Below are 22,367 nucleotides of genomic sequence, written 5' to 3'. Positions count from 1 at the left end.
CATCCTTTTCTTGTCATTTTTCTCTAAACAATACAGTTAACAACTATTAACACAGCATTTACATTGTGTTAGGTATTATAAATAATCAAGAGATGATTTGAAGTATACGGGAGGATGTGCATAGGTTATATGCAAACACTGCACCATGTTATATAAGAGACTTAAGCATCTGTGAATTTTGGTATTCATGGGGGAGTTCTGGCACCAATCCCCCACAGATACCGAGGGATGACTATGCATACCTAGGGGAGAGACCCTACATGCAGGGTTTGTTTGGTGCTGCTGGCAGATAGAAAAAAAGGGAGGAGTCAGGGCCTTTCAGTTTTCTATTCTGGTTGAAGGGCTTGGGACTGATGAGGACTAAAAGTGGCTAAGAAAGTTGCAGCCTCCATAAGGAGATAAATGAGATGATGATGATGATGATGATGATGAGTGTGTGTGTGTGTGTGTGTGTAGCTAATAACACGAGCTTTGGATCCAGGCAACTCTAGGTATGACTCCCCATTCCTTTCCTTCCTGTGTAATCTTGAGCAAGTCACTGACTTCTCTGAGCCACCACTTTTTCATTTGTAAAATGGGTATAAAAATATCAAGCTTGGGCTGGTTGCAGTGGCTCATGCCTGTAATCCCAATGCTTTGTGAAACTGAGAAGGGAGGATTGCTTGAGGGCAAGAGTTCAAGAGTTCAAGACCAGCCTGGTCGAGAGATAGAGAGAGAGAGAGAGAGAAAAGGAGTAGATTAGGGGCTCTAGGCAGAGGCAATAGGATGACAGAAATAATAAAAGCTCCAATGATTGAGCTGCTTCTTGCTGCATAAATTATCCGTTTAATTCTCACAGCAACTACGCACACTTGATATTCTTGTACCCATTTTACAGATAAAGAAACAGTGGTTCTGAAAATCAGTGACTTACTCAAGGTTATACAGTAAGAAGAAAAAGTGGTGCGTCATATTTAGAGTTGCCTGGGTCTAAAGCTTGTGTTTTCAGCTACTCAGACACCTGTCACCTGCATGAGGGTAGGAACCCCAGGTGAGCTGGAAACTCCTCCACCAGGAACAGCCAGCCTGGGTGGAGCACAGTGAAGATGCAAATGTGTGGGGTGAATTTCTTGAGCACCCGCAATGTCAGATTGGAGTTCAGCAAGATTCTGATAGAACAGGAAGTGCTGTTGAGGGCAGTGAGCAGGGCCATGTGAAATGGTTAGAGGCAGGCTTTGAAACAGATGGCACAGGTTCAAATCTCAGCTTTCCCACTCATCAGATGTGTGATGCTACGGAGAGAAAGTATGGAGGAGAAAAGTTGAAGCAACCTGCACAGAACACAACCCACATCATGTTTATTTCTCTGGTTCCTGAGAAGAAAGGGTCATTAACCAATGAACCTCAGAGAATTCGTGTTAGGAAGTGAACCTTAGCATATACAAAACTTGCCATTCGGACAATCAGGGAACAGGGAGCAAAGAACTCGGATGAACTGGGCTGGCAAGCCCTTTACTAAGATTAGAAAAGAAGAGCGAGGGGAAACACCATCGTCACCACCTTGATGATGCAGCTGGTAGCACAAATACACTATGAAACAAACCTGTGTGTTGTCTTAATTTGCAGTGATTTTCAGAGCACCACCGAGATAGTTCTCATCAAAATTTAGGTTCAAAAGCTATAAAATAGCTGCTGGGTGGCAGATTACACAGGCTCTAGAATAAAAAGGTGAGAATTTGCCACCCAGCTTCTACCATGAGCTCACAATGATGTGTCTCAAGGTACACTACACCTCTGAACTAGTTTCCTGGGTAAAATGGAGCAACAGTAACCAACTTATCACTGGTTCAAAAGTTACATTAAATAGAGTATGGGAAGATACCTTGCAACTTGTAATGGGATACAAAGAATAATTATCAATATTACGATAATGACCTTAGCACAACAGTCCTGTATATAGGGTTCTTTCCACATACCTAGTCATCAACCACACACAGGAAATAGAGACATCAATGACTGGACATAACTAGAAATGCTTTTCTCTAAGTACAGAGTCAGAGAAATTTGATTTCTGGGAGTCAAAGTGTTGTCTGGGATGAGCAACATCAACACCAACGTCATCTGGGAACTTTTTTAAAAATGCAAATTTTGGGGCCGCATCCTTGAACCACTAAATCAGAAACCCCAGGGGTTGGAATCAATGTCCGTTTTAATAATGATGACCACTGACCTAGGGAAAATGATCACCTGGCAAGAGACATGACCAAGTGACTTTACATGTAGATCAAAAACATTCCCAACAGGAGGAAAATGGACTCTTTCTGATGAACTCAAATTAAATGATCAAAAAAAAAAAAAAAAACCTGGAAGTTACTGGCACATGATCAACATGGAATGACACATGGGTTTGTTATAATTTTATCTTTTTCCCCTGTAGTGGGCCCTATAGTGCCACCTCAAAATTCATATCCACTCAGAGCCTGGGAATGTGACCTTATTCAGAAATATGGTCTTTGCAGGTCAGGCGCGATGGCTTATGCCTATAATCCCAGCACTTTGGGAAGCTGAGGCGGGCGGATCACCTGAGGTCAGGAGTTCAAGAACAGCCTGGCCAACATGGCAAAACCCCGTCTCTACTAAAAATACAAAAATTAGCTTGGTGTGTTGGCACACGCCTGACATCCCAGCTACTTGGGAGGCTGAGGCAGGACAATCGCTTGAACCCAGGAGACAGAGCTTGCAGTGGGCCAAGATTGCGCACTGCACTCCAGCCTAGGTGACAGAGCGAGACATCGTCCAAAAAAAGAAATATGGTCTTTGCAGATGTAATCAGTTTAAGATGAAGTTATATTGGGATAGGTTGGGCCGTAAATCCAATGCCTAGTGTCCTTAAAAGGGGAGGAAAATTTGAAGACTCAGAGACATAGGGAAGAATGTTATGTGAAGATAGCGGCAGAGATTGGAGTGATGCATCTATAAGCCAAGGAAATCAAAGGATTGCGGGCACCTCCAGAAGCTAGGAGAGAAACAGGGAACAGGCTCTGCCTGAGAGCTCTCTAAAGGAACTGACTCTGCTGACACCTTGATTTCAGACTTCGAGCCTCCTGAACTGTGAGAGGATGAATGTGATAAGTCATGACTTTGTGGTCCTTTGTTATGCCACCCCTGCAAAACTAACACACTCCTTTTTTAAAAAGCAAACATTTCCCAACATAGTGAAACCTTGTCTCTACTAAAAATACAAAAAAAAAAAAAAAAAAAAATTAGCTGGGCATGGTGGCACGCACCTGTAATCCCAGCTATTCAGGAGGCTGAGGCAGGAGAATCACTTCAACACAGGAGGTGGAAGTTGCAGTGAGCCGAGATCGGGCCACTGCACTCCAGCCTGGCAACAGAGCAAGACTCCATCTCTAATAAATAAATAAATAAAATAAATAAATAAATAAATAAATAAATAAATAAAATAAAAAAGGAAACATTTCCCAATATTTAATTTTCTGGAACCACTCCAATTACCCCCAATTTTTCAGACTCTTGATAGTCCTTCTCTTCTGAGTGTAGACTCTTTCCTTAGGCCATATTGTACTTGATTATGGCTCAAGTTTGTATTTTCAGCCCAGATCCCTTCTCTGAGGTCATAGATACTCAGATTTAGGTAATTAAGCAGCCCCTGAAGAGGTGGTATAGAATAATGAATAAGTCTTGGGTTTTGGAACGGAGTTTTTTCCAATACTCTGAAGGCTACATGAGAGAAGAAACTGACATTTTCCTCACTATTATATTCTAGTATTCAGGTTTACGAGGCCCTGAAAAGGTATTTGTATAATGAATGAAGAAAGCAAAAACATTGGCTAGAATGAGGAGGGGGCTCATGCTTAATTGTTTATAGTAACACTATTTCTTCCTTGCTTTCCATACTGCCATTGGCAGGAGGGAGAAGAGAATGCCTCAGAGCCCTGGGTGCTCCAAGAAAGACCCCACACCCTATCTCCCCTGACATTCACAATCTCACCACTGGTGTCTTGCAGAAGATCCTCCCTTGATCTCCACGTCCGTAAAATACTACAAAAGCCCCAGACACCCAGCTCATCCTTTAGCTCCCATATACTTCCCCAATACTGCTCTGTATACCACCTAATCTGACCCCATCTTCACCTCTTTCTAATTCCCTCACCCTCCCTTGTACAATTCCAGATCAGTCATCAGCAAAATCCCTTATAACCTGTGCCACTTCTTTATAAATCCCTTTTTGCCTTTTTGCTCTAATGGAAACTCAGATACTCCTGGGATCCCTGCCTCCTCATAAAGTCCTTCTAATTTGTCACTTTTTTTTTCTTCTGCTTCTTTCTATCACTAGCCTGGAGGTTGACTAGGTGTCCTCTTATTTCCTCATTCCAGCCTCCAGATGCTTCTCCCTGCCTGCTCTCTGAAAACTCGCTTTGAAGTTTATGTCATCCATCTATACCTTCAGTTGCCCCTGTTTATTGCAGGCATCTACAAACCCATGATTCAGAGAATTCCCCCTTATTCTTTGAAGTTTTTAACTCCTGACCTGTTCTCATAATCATAATCATACTGTTCATATCATAAACTGGTGACTTCACTAGCAGTCAAGATAATCTTTCCAGTAACTTGACCTTAACTCTCTTACCTCTTCTCTCTTCTTTTTAGGTCTTGGCATTAAAATCACTGCCACTCCCTGTAATCTCGGTTTCAAGTATTTCACTTTATTAACCACCACACTCCATCTTTCCAACTCACTCATTCCAGGACCTTGAATCCAAAAAAATGTGACTGCACAGTGACCTATAGTGTCTGGATCTTGTTTCCTATTTCACTGAGAGAAGAGAAGGGAGCAGAAGGCAATTTTCTCCCAATCCCTGCACCACGTCTACCTTGCCTGTATCTGCCCTATATACTCACCTCTCTCTCAGTGTGAATTAACAATCCATGTTTGTGTGCAAGGCCGGTCTCTGCATTTTTGTACCAGAACCCATTCCCTCTTACCAACTCAAGGATGGTGCCTCAGAAAGCACTCTTTATCTCCCATACCAATATTTTTATTTGCAAATGAAGTCTGTGTGTAATTCCTCCCATCTTCAAAACTCCTTTCCTTGATACCACATTTCCCTGCTCCCCTTCTTAGCAAAACTTCTCTAAAGAGATGCTTTTTCTCATTATCTCTTAAATCTTTTTCCCTTTCTCTCTGGAACTCACTCTGCTTAGGCTTATATTCTTCCCTCTTTATAAAAATGTGTCTTGCTAATGTCTCCAAAAGCCTGCATGTTGCAGATCTCATTCCTATTTTTAAGTGACCTAGTGGCAACATTGGACCTAGTGACAGCTCCCTCTGCATTGAAAATATTTTCTTATTTCTTCCAGGATACCATTCTGATATTCCCTACAGGCTGCTCCATCTCAGTCACTTCTACTGTTTGCTTCTCAACTTCCCAAACAATACACTTTGGTATACTCTAGGATTCAGTTCTTAAACATCACCTTTCTTTGTCTATACTCACTCCCATATAGTCTTACAGCCTTGATACCATCTATACACTGATGACTCCCAAATTCATTGCCAAATCTGTGAATGCAACAGAGCTGCATATACAACTACTCATTTGACGTCTGCACTTGAATGTCTTTAAAAGTTTGCCCAAAACAAACTCCCAGTTTCCTTCCTCCCCAACTTGCTCCTTCTGCTGTCTTGACCTCAAAAAATAGCAACTCCATCCTTCAATTGGAACAAAAGTGCCTAACTCCTCCTTTTGCTCACATTTCACATCTAATACATTCCCAAATCCTACTGGTTCTGTATTCAAAATCTGTCTAGGGTCCATCCACCACTCACCACCTGGAATGCCACCCTGGTCCATGTTACCATCATCTCTGTGTTTTTTTTTTGTTTTTTTTTTTTTTTTTTTTCTTTTTGACAGCCTGATACCTGGTCTCTCTGCTTCTGCCTTTGGCTCACTTATGGTTTACTTCTAACACAGCAGCTAAGCGATGACTTTGTTGTGTACATCCTATAAACACCACACCCAACTCCTTCAGTTCTTTTCCTTTCACTCATGATAAAAGTCTAAATTCTTAAAATGGCCAGCTCCCACTATGTCTCCAATTTTACCTGCAGGCTCTCCTCCCTGTTGTGGTCCATCCATATTGGCCTTTTTTGCTACAAGTCCACAAGCCTTGCCTCAGGAGCTTTGTGCTTGATTCCTCTACTTGGAACATGTTTCTCTCAGGTGCCCTTCACTTCCTTCAGGCCATTGTTGAAATGCAACTGTCTCAAGATGCCTGCCTTCGCCTTATTTTAAACAGCATCCTCCTTCACAGAGGGCCTTCATTCCTTTTTACCTGCTTTACTTATTCCCATAACAATTCTCATCACTTAGTATATACTATATTTTGATCTACTTATTTTATTTAATGCCTGTGTTCTCCCATCAGGGCAAGGGACATTTGTCTGCTTTGCTCCCAATTGTATTATTAATGTTTTGGAAAATGCATGGCACTTACTATTTGCTGAGTCACTGAATGAATGAATCTACGTATTACTTTTTCGCTGTTGTGGATTGGGATATGTATGAGAAGAGACAGAAGATCTCATTCAAAATAGGAGATGCTTTATCACTCTCTCTACCACTCACTTGTGCACTGGCTCTGTCTTAGACACTTACCTAACCCTCTGTTTCCAACAGAACAATGAGCGATCTTAGAAATTAAGGGATTCCATGTCACAGTCTCCACATTCTTTTCTGTCTGTCACTTACATTGTCCTTTTTGCTTTTGGGGTGGGGATGGGTGTGTGTCACTTTTATCTCAGAATGTTCAGTCATTTTAAGACTTAATTTGGGGTTTAGTGTTCCAAACACTAGTCATTGGTCCATTTTGATTTTCTCTTTTCCCCTCCCCTCCTCTCCCCTCCCTTTTCCTCCCCTCCCCTCTCCTTTTTTTTTTTCTATTCCTCCTGTTCTGTGCAGGAAACGTGCAAGGGGAGAAGAAAAGACACATACACAATGCCTTTAGGGATAAACAACCTTTATCCCATGTAAATGGCGATGCAGATATAATAAGCAAATGATATAATAAACAAATCAATATAATAAGCAAGTTGATATAATAAGCAAATAATATAATAAGCAAATTGCAATGAAAAGGGAAGATATATATATATATATATATATATATATTTATACTCACCAGACTATGAAGGATTCACCACCAGACTAGGAAGCAACAACCTGGGCTCCAGAGTTGGCCACTCATCTGTGCACAGACGAGGAGCAGTCTCCTGAAGCTTTGGCGCAGTCTGGGACCCTAGCTCTTTTTGTAACGAGTTATTCGGTGTGAGGCCCAGTCATGAGGGCCCTTTGGCTCAAGGAACACAAAAAGGTCAACTTGTTTTTTGTGATTGTCTATTGCTTTTCAATAACTAACGTATAGGAATAGATTGAAATAGGGATTTCTCTGAAACAGTGCTGGATGAACGCCTCAAGGGGCACACACAACCTGTTCTGGGACTTGGTGACCATTGTTTGTGTCGATGTTCAATTGAGTTCAAATTTAATATTTAACTTTTCCTCCACACCTCACCATCTCACCCCTCCCCTTCCTTCTCCTCTCCCTCGCTTCCCTCCTCTCCTCTCCCCTCCCTTCCCTTCCTTCCCCTCCTTTCTCTTTCTTTTTTCTTCCCTTCCCTTTTTCTCTTCTTTTCTCTCTTTAATTTTTTCTCTTTTTGTGACTGGATTAGAGCTCTAATAACAGAAAGTTAACTGTCCTCTGTTATTAGAATTTAGGTGGTACAGAAAATAAGAGAAAGGGAAGAAATCCTATTAAGCCTTTAGAAAATCTTCACTCAAATCACATCATTCTCACCACTCTGGTTCCTGAATTCTTTGTTTATTATTTGGCATGTCAAATTTCTTTGTAAGTTTAACAGGAATTAAGCATTTAAAAGTGTGGTTTTTTTTTCATGGTGAATCAAACTTCCAGATCTATCATTGAGAGAATAGTATCATAAATCCCCATGTAGACAGAACCTTTAGTTCCCGAAGTCCTTGTCCCTTTTCTTTCTGCCCCTATAAAATTAATGACCATTTTTTCCTTTGTTTACGAGAAGAACCAGTCTGAACACAGAGACTCTGTTGCTTTGAGTTCTGGAATACTGTTCTAAGAATACAGTAAGACAATGGTATGAAGGCAAATGCTTTTGATGTACAGATGGCTGGTTTTGTTGACAGAGAAAAAAACAAAACAAACAAAAAATGTCTTGTGACTTCCATTGAGGCAGAACTTGAAGGCACTTACAGAGCAGATTATAGAAATTGTGAGAACTGACTGATGCAGGGAAGTTCTCACAGAAGGAAAACGATGGCTCAGAGAGTCACCAGAGTGCTTGGGAGGAGTCTGAGTGTTAAAGATAAAAGAATAGAATGACTATTCAAGATGTACAACATGACCATCCAAGTTCCAGCTCACCCCTTGGTGTAAAATGTCAAGCTGGAGGGTACAGAAACCTAATCTCATTTAGGAGAAAGTAAGTAAAACAGAACTGGAATCCTTGAATCCTCAGAAAAAGCCTAGGGAGTCTGCAAGCCCCTCAAAGAAGTTCCATAGTCATCATGGAATTACAATCCATTGTAGTGAGCAAGTCATAGGGAAGCCAAGACATGGCTCAGGCTATCTCTCACATGTCACTACCAACTAGAGAGAGAGCCACAGTGCATTATTGCCACTGGCCCTCAGGGGACATGGAAATCCTGAGCTTGGAGGAAGCCGGGAGTCAACATGAGGGCACATTCAGAATGTGGACTTCAAGACTGGAGGCCACAGAAACATCTGAGGTCATTATAGAGGAAGACAATAAGAGCATCGACATCCTTGACATCCAGACCCAATAAAATCGTCAACATGCTGAGGAAGTCCACAGCAGAAGACAGCATGGGAACCAGACAATGCTCCCCTGACACCGCAGGGCCACACAGTCTTCTTTCTCAGGTGTCCTCTTGAGATGTCGAAGAAGGGTATAGGAGAAACCCTGAAAAACAAGCATGCTTCTAAAATAGCCTGAGGTTGCCCGAAAGAGACTGCTTTAAACCACGGCCTCACCCAGTAGCCTGAAAACTCTTTAAGGACCAGTGCTGGGGTTTACCCAGTTTTGTGTCCCAAGCAGCTATCACAAACAAAGGTACTGAAAAGTATCTCAGTAGAAGACCACTGAGTGATGAATAAACAGTCTAAATAAAAGCATCAAGGTTTACAGCAACTGACTAGAAGGAAAGGACTGAACTCACAGAGGAAATAATAAAAGGAGAAAGTCAGATGATGCCTCTCCTTTGGTTCGAAAACAAATTGTACAAAAATAGGGCTCTCAGTCCTGTTCCAAATTACTTACTGTGAGTGAGAAACCAAATTCAATTTAATGCAGTAAGAATGACCTGCAACTACAAAAGGAAGAAGAGGTAGAGGAGGAAAAACAAGCAATTTGGTTCTGTTTTACTCAGAGGATGTAGATGACTCTGGGTACCACATAAAGAAAGAACATTGACAACCTGTGTACACACAGTAAAGTGTATTGATCTCATTAGAGGAGCAGTTGAATAATTAAATCTGGAAAGACCTGGAGAATTGATGAAGAAATTGATAAATGTCTTTGGATATAAAATAGTTGTCATATAGGAGAAGCCACAGATTTGTTTTAGTCTGCTCCAGGGAGCAAGAAAAAGAGCAGAGATGGGGAATTGCTAGAAGGAAGATTTCAGTGTATAGAAGGAAGAGCATAGGAACAGGATGCCTGAAAAAGAAATTGCACAAATATAGAGGTGAGAGCCCTATTCCAAAGCACTTACTGTAAAAGGAAACAAAAGTCAATTTAACGTAATAATATTGAGCTCCCCATCACTGGAAGTGTCTTGGCAGGTGCCGAAGGCCTGTTTGTGGGAGGTTTGAAAGAGGAGATTTAACATGGGTAGGAGATAAGTACAAGACCTGAAAGTCTCTTTCAAAATTGGCAATTAATGGGCTATCTCTCTCTTAGATGTTCATTCAGGCAAAACCAAGGTGAAGAACACCTGCTGGTATACTTTGCCAGAGAGGTGCCAGGATGCAAGGAAGGACACAGTGGTAGAAACATAAGCGTCCATGGAGGATTAACTGCAATCCCGCATGCCTCCCCGTGTGTTTGCAGCATGACTTTGTAGCTCCTCCCATGAAGAGACAGGATCTTTTTCCCTGCCTTTCAAATTTGGGCTGGCCACGTGACTTACTTCAGCCAATGTAATGTCATACAAATGATTCTGTGTCCGTTTGGGGCCTAGACATCATACCACTGCCACTGCCATGAAAACAAGCCTAGGCTAGCCACTTGGAGGGTGAGAGACCAGCTGGAGAAAAGTCCACTTATTTCAATTCTGAACATCCTAGATTTGCCAGTTGTCAGCTAACCTCCGAACATGTGAGTGAGTCCAAACAGCAGCAGCGGCCTACCCAACTGAGGGCTGATTGCAGATGCATGAATAAACCCAGCTAAGACCAGAAAAAACTTCCCAGCTGACCTGTAGACTTGTGAGCAATATAAATGCTTATTATTTTCAGCATTAAATTTTGGAGTGATTTGTTACACAGCGATTACTAACTAATATATCTTTGGAGACAGGGAGACTTGCACCTCACTATTGTGTCAACTTCAGCAAGCCTCTTTAGCCTCTCGGCTTTGGTTACTTTTTCTGTAAAATGTGGACAACTTAATGGGACCCATTTCTTGGGAGGATTCAATGCATGATTTATATTAAGTCATTTTCACAGTGCCCAATACATAGTTAACACTCAACAAATTTTGTCCATTATTAGTATTTTTATGAGTGAGCTGGAGAAAATTACCACTGGGGAAGTAAAATCATCATGGTGGAATAAATTTCATACGACATTGCTTTCTTTCACACATCAAAAAGGTAAAATAGTTATATTCTGTATCTTTTTTTGATTGATGTGTTTATTTTGAGAGAAATCACTTCCTTTACACTTCTGTCTCCTGGGCACATGTCCAAACCAACACAAAGAACTTTAGATGATGACACACTCTCACCTCCTATTGAACATATGTGGCAGCCATGTATGTTCCTGACTTTAGGTTATCTTGGGAAGGCTCTTTCTCTGCCTGGATGATGGTGGGTGTCAAAATTTAAAACTAGTCAGAGCCAAGGAAATGACATCCTCCTGTAATGTTGAGGTCTTCCCAGGCAAAGGAAGCACTCAAAAAGGTCTTTTTATAAGAATAGGTTACAACAAAAGAGGAAGCTAACCCTCGTACCTTCAAATAACCTTTAAAAAATATTCCCTCCCCAGATAACTTTTTATATTATCTCCTTTCACAAATTTCAGAATCCAAGGCATGAACATACATCTCTTTTTCTGCAAGAATGACTCTGTCACAAGTCAAACAAGTAATAATTCAACTTAGCCTTAGAAGGGACTGCATGGTCTAAATGTAGGTCCTGCAATCCAATTACCTATTTTATTTTTGAATCTCCCCAAATCCATTTTTCTACTCATTATTGAAAACTTCTACTGCTGAGAAACTTGCTACTTCATGGAACAGCCTATCTCATTGCTTTTTACCTGTAAGACAAGGATTCAAGCACAATTAGTTTCTTTGGGAGGTTATTCCATAATATAAGATAGGGATATGGAGAAGTGACACAGAGAATGGAAGAAAATCAATACAGGATATGCACATATATGTTTTGAGACAGGGTCTTTCTCTGTTTCCCAGGCTGGAGTACAGTGGCACAATCACAGCTCACTACAGCCTCTACTTCCTAGTCTCAAGTGATCCTCTCACCTTAGCCACCCAAGTAGCTGAGACTGCAGACATGCACCACCATGCCTGGCTATTTAAATTTTTTTTTTTTGTAGAAACAAGATCTCACTGTGTTGCCCAGTCTGTTCTTGAACTCCTGAGCTCAAGTGATCCTTCTGCCTCAGCCTCGCAAAGTGCTAGGGGTACAGGCATGAGCCACCACTCCCGGCCACAATATGGGATATATTTTGATTACATTTTCAGCTTCAGATAAATGAAGCTTAATTCTGTTAGAGAACTTTAAGGACGATATTCCTAGCATATATATCTCAGAATTACCTAACCTAAGGGGTAAGGGAGCCGGGGTATTTATGTACCAGATTGCACAATTATTTATTGAATTTGCTATTGAAAGGAGTTAACTTCCATGCAAGTGGCAGGCCAGAATTGCTGTTCTGCCTTTTGTACAGGCAGAGTTAACTTCAGCCTTGTGGCAAAGGAGCATAGTGCTGGAAGTTGGCAGTCAGGCTTCGGTGCAGACACTGTAAGAGTGGAGGAGATAAGAGTTCCAACAATGTGCACTGCAGGTATGAAAATCTCTTTCCCACAGAAGGCATCTGCCATTTCAGCCATCCCAACCTCTTTCCTTCTCCTTTGGTTCACCCCTCCTTTGGAGAATCTCCCTTTTCCTCGTCTCTGTTCACATAATTTAGAAGGAGGTGATTTTAGCTCCTTTTAGCTGAACTTCTAGCTTGAAAGTTAGTACATTCCTCGGTTCTGGACAATAATTGTAAAGTGTCTAATATTCACAGTGCTTGGTTCAGAAGTGGGTATGTGATCAAAGCCAACTTACTCAGATGCAATCCTGAGATTTTTCTAGAGCAATTAGGAAAGGGTAACTATTCTCTCTGTTGGGACTGCTAAAATGATAGGCTGTGAGCCCAAATGTTCTTGTGGCCATCATTGTCATGTGATCAAGCAATCCCACTTCTGTGTATTTATCCAAAAAAATTGAAATCAGAATACTGAAGAAAGATATTAGCACTTCCATGTTTATTGCAGCACTGTTCACAAAAGCCAAGATGTGGAAACACACTAAATGTTCATTGACAGATGAATGGATTAAGAAAATACAGTAGCTGGGTGTGGTGGCTCATGCCAATATTCCTAGCACTTTGGGAGCCTGAGGTGAATTGCTTGAGCCCAGGAGTTTGAGACCAGCCTCGTGAGCAAAGCATGCTGAAACCCGTTGTCTCTACAAATAAATAAATAAATAAATAAAGAGGGGCGCATGCCTCTGCCTGTAGTTCCAGCTACCCAGGAGGCTGAGGTGGGAGGATCACCTGAGCCAAGACAGGTTGAGTCTGAGGTTATGAACCATGGTTGTGGCACTTCAGTAAAGTCTGGGTGACAGAGTGAGACCCTGTAAGAAAGCAAGAAAAGCAAGAAAACAAGAAAGCGAGAAAGCAGGAAAGCAAGCAAGCAAGAAAGAAAGAAAGAAAGAGAAAGAAAGCAAGAAAGAAAAAAAGGAAAATATGGTCTCTACACACAATAGAATACTATGCAGCCTTAAAACATAAGGAAATCCTACAATATAGATAACATAGATGAACCTTGAGGACACTATGCTAAGTGAAATGAGCCAGTCACAGAAAGACAAATACTGCATGATTCCATTTTTATGAGATACCTAAAATAGTTAAATTTATAAAGTCAAAAACTGGAATTATAGATGGTCAGGAGCTAAAGGGAAGGAGGAAATGAGAAGTTACTCATCAATTGGTATAAAGTTACAATTAAGCAAGATGAATGAACTCTAGATATCAGCTCTATGACACTGTACCTATAGTCAACAGTGACTATACACTTCAAAATTGCTGAAGGCTGATCTCATGTTAAATGATCTTATTACAATAAAGTTGAAAAAGTGACAATAAAATAGCGAAAAATAAACATAGAAGGTAACATAATACAAACAAAATAAAAATCAAGGTTTTAAATTCTGAAAAACCTGGATTTAAAATGTGGCTCAGGCATTTACTAGCTCTGTGGACTAGAGTAAGGTATTAAAACACTGTAAGCCTTATTTTTCTCATCCATAGAATGGAGAGGAAGAGTGCCTGTTCTGCATAGTTCTGGATTTTTGAATGGTAAATGGCCAGTGAATTTGGTGGTATCTAAAGAAAAAAAATAGCAGAATTAAAGATAAGAAAAAAAGAATGTTTTATTGAGGTATGATTTGCACACATTTAATGTACACATGTGATAAGTTCAGATATGTGCATACACTCATGAGACCATGGTCACAGTCCAAGACCAAGGTACTAAACGTACCCATCACCTCTAAAAAGTCCCTTTTGGGCCGGGCGCAGTGGCTCACGCCTGTCATCCCAGCACTTTGGGAGGCCGAGACGGGTGGATCACGAGGTCAGGAGATCGAGACCATCCTGGCTAACACGGTGAAACCCCGTCTCTACTAAAAATACAAAAAATTAGCCGGGCGTGTTGGCGGGCGCCTGTAGTCCCAGCTACTCGGGAGGCTGAGGCAGGAGAATGGCGTGAACCCGGGAGGCGGAGCTTGCAGCGAGCGGAAATCGCACCACTACACTCCAGGCTGGGGGACAGAACGAGACCCCATCTCAAAAAAAAAAAGAAGTCCCTTTTGTTCCTTTGTGTTTCTTTCGTAGTTAGAACACTTAACATAAGATCTATCCTCCTAAACGTGTTTTAAAGTACACAATACCTATTGCTAAGTACTGTACATTGTACAGTAGATCACTAGAACTGACCCATCTTACCTAACTCTTTATACCGATTGATCAACAACTCCCCATGCAGGTCTGGCATAGAGTAACATACAGTAATAACCCCATAAAGGGAGCTACAATTGCATGTCTTCCCTGAGATTTCTCTTCTCTAGGGTGAACCCCTTTGCCATTTCTAGATATACATTGTTTATATTTTTCAGTATAATCTCACCATAACTGTGACAATGAGGTACGATATTGGAAACTACAGGTATCAGGACTAATAAGGAATGTGTGATGGCTGAATGGTTATATGGCATAAATTGTGATTCCTACTTATATCATTGGCCACTCTTATCTGAGTATAGTCATAATTAAAAACACATATGTTTAAAATCTTGACTGGCATGCATAGTAGTGGCTTATTCCACTGAGAAAAGTGGTTTTCCTTTTTCTTAAAGTGGAGGCTGCCACTAGATAAACAATCCCATTAAGAGATGAGTGACTTTTTGGAGTGGCCAGCGCCCAAGAGCTCTCCCTCCCTAACCATAGGGCATACTTGAAAAATGTGCCTGATGCCTTGGTGGAGTTCCATGCAAAACAGAGGCTTACAAAAGTTACATGACCTAGACAAAGTCACAGAGTGAACAGGTGGAGTTATGAAGCTCAAGGGCTGACCATTCTCATTGCAAAGCAGGTCCAGTTTCCAATTGTAAAATCCATAGTACTTTCTGGGCCAGAGAGTGCATTTGGAGAGACATGCATTCTATCCTTAAACCATCACTAAAATGTTGCTTGCAATTTTTTACTCTGATTAGTAATTTGTAGTCATGGACTTCTCATTGTCATACCTATGGTTGAGTTTTTTGAGAAACAGAGTCTCAGATGGAGACTTGCATGCAGAAAGTTCACTGGATAGTGTCTTCAGGAACAACACTTATAAGAGAGATAGGGCCTCAGAGAAATGCAAATCAAAACCACAGTGACATAGCATCTCACACCGGTTAGAATGGTGATCATTAAAAAGTCAGGAAATAACAGGTGCTGGAGAGGATGTGGAGAAATAGGAACACTTTTACACGTTGGTGGGACTGTAAACTAGTTCAACCACTGTGGAAGTCAGTGTGGTGATTCCTCAAGGATCTAGAGCTAGAAATACCATTTGACCCAGCCATCCCATTACTGGGTATATACCCAAAGGATTATAAATCATGCTGCTATAAAGACACATGCACACATATGTTTATTGTGGCACTATTCACAATAGCAAAGACTGGAACCAACCCAAATGTCCATCAGTGATAGACTGGATTAAGAAAATGTGGCACATATACACCATGGAATACTATGCAGCCATAAAAAAGGATGAGTTCACGTCCTTTCTAGGAACATGGATGAAGCTGGAAACCATCATTCTCAGCAAACTATTGCAAGGACAAAAAACCAAACACCACATGTTCTCACTCATAGGTGAGAATTAAACAATGAGAACACTTGGACATAGGAAGGGGAACATCACACACTGGGGCCTGTCGTGGGGTGGGGGGAGGGGGAGGGATAGCATTAGAAGATATACCTAATGTAAATGACAAGTTAATGGGTGCAGCACACCAACATGGCACATGTATGCATATGTAACAAACCTGCACATTGTGCACATGTACCCTAGAACTTAAATAATAATAAAAAAAAAAAAAAGAGAGAGAGAGTGAGGGAAACAGGATTGGGCAGAGGGAGAAGTTGAACTGTGAGGCAGCTGCAATTGATGACTAGCCCATTCCACAGGGAGCTCTAGCACTAGGGTGGCCCCGCAGAGTTTTCCTGAACTGGGACAAAGAGCACATCTACACTGACTAACGTTAGATCAGACTGACCCTGGGAAGGGAGTGTAACTGTGGGCAAACTCGTGGTCTCCAAAAGAGGGCAATGCAATTAGCATTCAACACTCCCATCAACTGATTAAATTAGTGCCTTCGCTCTGAAGCGGGTTCTAAATGACACACCAGAGCATTTTCAGGTCCCTGTTCAAGGAAATTTAAAAATGCATTTGACACTTGGATAATTCAAACAAAAAAAAAGTCTGAAAGTATGAAACCAGTGCTATTCCCTAGAAGTAAGGAAAGGAATATGATGGCATGGAAATTATTTGAGATTAGAAGTTAGACAGACATGGGATTCCATTCAGAATACTCCAGAACTGGAATTGTATTCCAAAATGAATACAATTTCTCTTGGTATGGTCTTGGAACAATTCTAAATTACTTAGCTTCTCTGAGCACAAGGTTTTCAATTATAAAATGATGATGTTAGTAATAATACCACCTTCACGGCATATTTGGAAAAACATAATGAGAAAATTCACTTGAAGTACCAAGCACAGTGCCTGGCATATTGAAGGCACTTGATAACTAGTAGTTTTCTGTCACCTAAACAACAGTGAATGGCTTGTATGTATGTCATTCTTTATTCAAATTTTGTAGAGTAGAATGTACCAAATGTTTAAAGAATTCATAACTGGTTGAATGAAGAAAAATACAGGCAAGTAATAGGAAGAGAAGTGCTGAGATGGAAGCAAACATAGTGTGTGTTGTGAGTGCAGACCTGAGATCTTGCAGAATAGTCCAAGGACTAAGGGAGAAGTAAGGATCGGACCTATGTCCTGAACCAGAAAGAGAGGTGAGTGTGTTGTTGGAGCCATGAGGGAGAAAATTCAGGGAGGGGCCTCTTAGGTTCCAAAGCACAAAGACAACAGAAAGCATAGCATGTGTGGGCATCTGTAGGTGGTTCAGTACAGTTGCAGCATAATACGGGCAAAGAGTAGGCAGCTAAGGGAACACTGCATTTCAATACGTTTGGTATTGGCAGCTCCTAAGCCATCACTGTGGCTTGGGATCACTTGTTTTAAATTCACTAAGAAGTATTAAAGAACGCAGGTGGTGGAAAGAGTTCACAGCCTGTTTAAATAGAGTCTACCTGGGGCTGAAAACCAGTTGGCATGGAGCTCACTTGTTCCATCTTGTTAACAGCACTGGATTTCAGGTTTAATGGCTTTAGGCTGGTTTAGTACAGCCTTGCTAAGGAGACCATGTTTCCTTTGGATGATTGGAGAAGTCACCCTTTCACAATGCATGGTGAAATAAAGTCAAACTTCAGATGAGAATTTTGAGTTCATTGCAAGCCCAGTATGCTCACAGCGTAGTTAGCAGGAGCAGTCTCACAGAGGGGGTTGGGTCTACCCTAAAAAGTTCTTCCCTGAGGCCAGATTCCATCCTTCACTTACCCAGCTCTGGCTGATTGGCTAGGGAGAAAAGTGCCCCATGGCCTGTCTATGACATGATTTCCACTGTAAACTTTGTTTTTATTCTCTGTGAAAGAGTACTTTATGCCCTGAACTTTATGAATGTTAAAAAAAAAAAAACAACCAAAACATTCATTTTCAGATGAAATTTTTCAAGCTTGGACTCAACCCAAGAGGATTTTAAAGAATTGGCAATTGGAAGTAAAATGTTCCAGGAGGCTTTTAGAAATGCAGTGTTAACCAAAAAATAATTAAAATTTCAGAGTGCCTGGTTTGTAGGCTTCAATGAGGGTGGTAGGTTTACTTGTACACACACCTAATTCTGGTCCACTTCCACATTTCCACATTCTAGGCTTATACAAAACTTTATTTTTTCCAGAATTTCTTAATTAGCTTCATTTTTATCATATTTTCACTGTGAAGTAGAGTCAAGAGATAAAGAAATTGACACACAGGCAAGTAACAAGACACATTGCCCAACATGGCCAATATTTAGTGGGAAAAGCATAGTCAGTGGACACGAGACATGGCTGGGGCTCATAGGTACTGCTGCTGTTGACTAGATGAATACCTGTGTCTTGATTACTTATGAATTCTTTGGCTTGACTTGCTCATCTGTAAAATGGGATAGTAATAGTACACAGAATGATGTGTGAATCAAACAATCATGATTTAATCACCACTTAAATGGTGGTAGAAATATTTATTTGTAAATTACAGTGTCATTTAAATGTTAAATAGTATTTAAATGCAATTAAACATCTAGTTAGGAATATAAATGCAAATTCAACCCATCTTCTGAGTCTTGAGTAGGCATTAGTGTTTCGAATGAATCATTATTATTAGCCATCATCAGTTTATCAGGGAATTGGTAGGTTGAATACATCTTTCAAGTTCTACGAAGATTTTAAGATCCATTCCAGAATCCCCTATGAACTTCTCAGTCACTTTTGCCCCTTGTCGAGTGGGATGGAACAATATCCATGTGGAATGTTCAGTTTTTTCTTACACTAACTCCCTCTGCTTCCTGTAGAATGGCCTCTTATGCAACTTGGAGTGACATTGTTTAACGCTCATGAACTGCATAGTTATTAGTTAGAGAATACAACTATAGAAAGACATCCAAGCCCTCGAGGACTCTGTGTTCTCAAAGACATCAAAAGCAACACACACCTACTACTCTAAACATCTGCCAAATCATATCTACTTTAAAAACTGTAACAAGTATAAAATCCACCAAAAATCAAAACGATGGCTAACCATGCACATACAAAAAAATAAAATTCCCAGATGTACCATATCAAGGAACCCAGCACATATACATAATGAACTTCCTATTTCCTATAAATAGACTCTAGCTCTTTATCACTGTATGTCTCTAATACAAGGATTTTAAAGAGGAAACAATGAAATTTGTATGTCTGTTTCCTGTATTCTCCAGTAGACTATAGAAACTGGGGGTATCTTATTCATTCCTATACCCCCAAAATACATGGATAGGGTGGAGAAATGCACTTAGTAAGCCCCTATTCAGTGCCAAGTGCTATACCAGATTCTTTACATTGATTTTCTCCATTCATTCTTTGAAATAATCCTTAAATGGTAGGTATTACCATCATACTTGTTGATAGATAGGGAAATAGGCTGCTGATGAGAAAAGTACCTTGCTCAAGGTCACATATGTAGTAAATGGTAGAACCACAATTCATGTTTGAATCTGTTTCCTATTATACTCTTTTGCCTTTCATATGTTAATAGTACAGTATTTAGTATATAATATGTATTTATGCCTGATAAATAGTATGTGCTCACAATATGTTAAATTGTCGTATTACTATCCCTAAAATAATGCTTGTATAAGATATAACATCCTGAATACAAACAGGTCTAAATACAGAATTCCGTAGAATTAATTCTTACTTAGGTACTAGGTCTTAGATATTGATAGTAATAGTCATGCACCACCTATCCATTCTGGTAGGGCCAAATGTAGCATAGTCATAAATTAAGCTGTAATAAGGGCTTTACATAAATTGATTTATTTAGCCTTTTGAGATAGACACTACTGTTATTTCCATTACTCTAATTTTACAAATTAGGAAAATGGGGCACAGAAAGTTTGTCAAAGCAGAGATGAGAGTCCACCTCAGAACTCGGGGAGCTCTAGTTTCCTTATGTGTCTGTCTCTCAAACTTGACTGCACTTTAGAATAACCTGCAAATTTTCTGTACTCTGGAAAGCCTGGACCTGACTACCGGAGATTCCTATTCAGTTGATCGGGGGTGAGGTAATGGCATTCATGTATTTTGCAAGATATCCATGTGATTCCACCGTACAGCCAGGGGCTGGGAAGCCCTGCACTAGAGTAGACCTCCTCTGAATTCTGCTGTGCAGAAGGCTTGTTCTCTGTGCGAGTCAGAACTGAGTGTATATATATTAATAACCCCACTCTTCTCATTGACTTCTACAAACCAGGCTTTCTGAAGTTTTCATATAAATTGCATTTACAAGACTACTAATAAGAGTGATGGAACCCATCATTTGGCATGGAAACTATACGTGGTTTAGATGTTAGGCACAGTGCTAGGAGCGTTGTGTGACTTATTTCAGTTAACCCTCAGAGCAGCCCTATGAGTAGGTAGTTTTGCTTTAGGTTGGGTGTGTCAAATAGGTTTCATCTTTCATCTCCAGTAATCACCCTCCCAACCTGGTTGATTACTGGAGCTCACAGCCTTGCCACTCACAGTGTGGTCTGTGGGCATCACCTGGAAGCTTGTTAGGAATGCAAAACCTCAGTTTCCCTGCCAACATTCCCCTAATCAAAATATCAAATCTGCATTTCAACAAGGTGATTCCAATACACATTAAAGTTTGAGAACCGCTGGTCTAGAGCCATTTCTTGAGCAGATTCTGTGTTCCCACTGGAACAGATGTCAGCAGGAAAATGTGCTCTGGTAAATGTTCTGTGTCTGCCTGGGCAGAGGATGGACTCGTGCCTTGGGAATCAGGCATTTATCAATTTGGCTTCATATACAGGCACAGAGGACACTATAGAGAACACATAATGCATTCTCAATTTAGGCACTGGCCCTCCCTTACTAAACACTTGCTGATGTTCTTTACCAGCATGGGTAAGGGATCCATCTCATTTTGGTCCTGTTATTTTCAGCAGGTCCAGCACTTCTCTTGACTTGCATTGTCCATACTGGCTAGGTGTGTCTAGCTCTCTATGCTTGGGTTACCAATTAAAACCTTCTTGTCTTTGCTTGTTACAGAATGGCAGCAAGATGCTGCAGCTTAGGTGACCAACCAACCTGGTTTACCTACAATGGGGGTGGTTTCTGGAGATGTGGGAGAAGGCCTGGACAGTCTTGGAGAAATCAGAATGGTTGGTCATCTTAATTGCAGCCCTTGTCTCTCTCATACACATTGAGTCTGTGTTTGCTGTTTCTTGTAGGGCTACTTGTTTCTCTATTAGATCTATATCCTCTGCTTTCCAGCAGTAAGCAATTATTCCCAGCCTTTTTTACAATCAAGAAATATTACTTCCAATGTGTAGTCCACATTAAAAATAAACACCCTATATCATAGAAAAATGAATCTATACCTCCTGTAGACTACCTTTAAATGTCTCCTTTTCTCATCCTACTTCCTTCATCAACAAGAACACAGGGAGTATTTGTTAATTACTTTTTGGCAGACACTATGTTGTTGAGAACGGCTGGTATAAGAATGTTATAATTACAGTTTGAGTGACTTTTAATAATTTGTAATCAATATTAATTAGGATTGGCCGGGGGTGGTGGCTCATGCCTGTAATCCTAGCACTTTGGGAGGCCAAGGCAGGCAGATCACGAGGTCAGGAATTCAAGACCAGCCTGACCAATATGGTGAAACCCCATCTCTACTAAAAATACAAAAATTAGCTGGATGTTGTGGCACACACCTGTAATCCCAGCTACTCAGGAGGCTAAGCTGGGAGAATTGCTTGAACCGGGAGGTGGAGGTTGCAGTGAACCGAGATCGTGCCACTGCACTCCAGCCTGGGCAACAGAGTGAGACTCCATCTCTCTCTCTCTCTCTCTCTCTCTCTCTCCATCTATAATATATAGATATATATATATATATTAGGATAAAAGACCTATTTTTAGGCTCTATCCCAGGACCACCAGTTTTCAAGTCCAAGTGACAGGATTTTTTATGCCAGAAGCTGATTTATCTTGGTACATTATTTAACTTCCTTTGATTCTCAACTGTTGAGATATAAGGTTACCTTTCTGTCTTTGTAACTTCCAGATCTTCATAAAAGGAAATCGCAAAATTAAAATTTCAACCATAAAGGTGAAAGAATTGTGTAAAATAAGCTCTGAAGTTTCCTTAAAATCTAACATTTTATATTGTAGATGACCAGTAGGTTTTAGATTATTGCACTGGATATTAACATTTTAATTCTTCCAATTTGTTGGATACTTAGCCGAACAATTTATATTGAAAATAACAAGAGATTTTAAAATCATGTATATCTGACTTACCCTTTGGCTTG

General features: G+C 40.6%; 1 long non-coding RNA gene across 1 annotated transcript in view, besides 2 other annotated features; it reads right to left on the bottom strand.

Moving 5' to 3' along the window:
- Positions 1–7,330, bottom strand: part of CASC21 (cancer susceptibility 21) — a 147,995-nt gene extending 140,665 nt beyond the window's left edge. The window contains exon 1 of the long non-coding RNA NR_117099.1: positions 7,183–7,330. This is a non-coding gene — a long non-coding RNA (cancer susceptibility 21). The remainder of the gene's footprint in view (positions 1–7,182) is intronic.
- Positions 467–516: an enhancer, noted in NCBI's record as "active region_27936". NCBI's record gives its function as "activates an Ori minimal core promoter by ATAC-STARR-seq in GM12878 lymphoblastoid cells {active_cell/tissue: GM12878}" and the evidence as "EXISTENCE:reporter gene assay evidence [ECO:0000049][PMID:35858748]".
- Positions 717–766: an enhancer, noted in NCBI's record as "active region_27935". NCBI's record gives its function as "activates an Ori minimal core promoter by ATAC-STARR-seq in GM12878 lymphoblastoid cells {active_cell/tissue: GM12878}" and the evidence as "EXISTENCE:reporter gene assay evidence [ECO:0000049][PMID:35858748]".
- Positions 7,331–22,367: the final 15,037 nt, after the last annotated feature.

This window comes from Homo sapiens, chromosome 8 (assembly GCF_000001405.40).
Source record: "Homo sapiens chromosome 8, GRCh38.p14 Primary Assembly".
Taxonomy (NCBI): Eukaryota; Metazoa; Chordata; class Mammalia; order Primates; family Hominidae; genus Homo; species Homo sapiens.
This window is presented reverse-complemented; position numbering and strand designations above follow the sequence as displayed.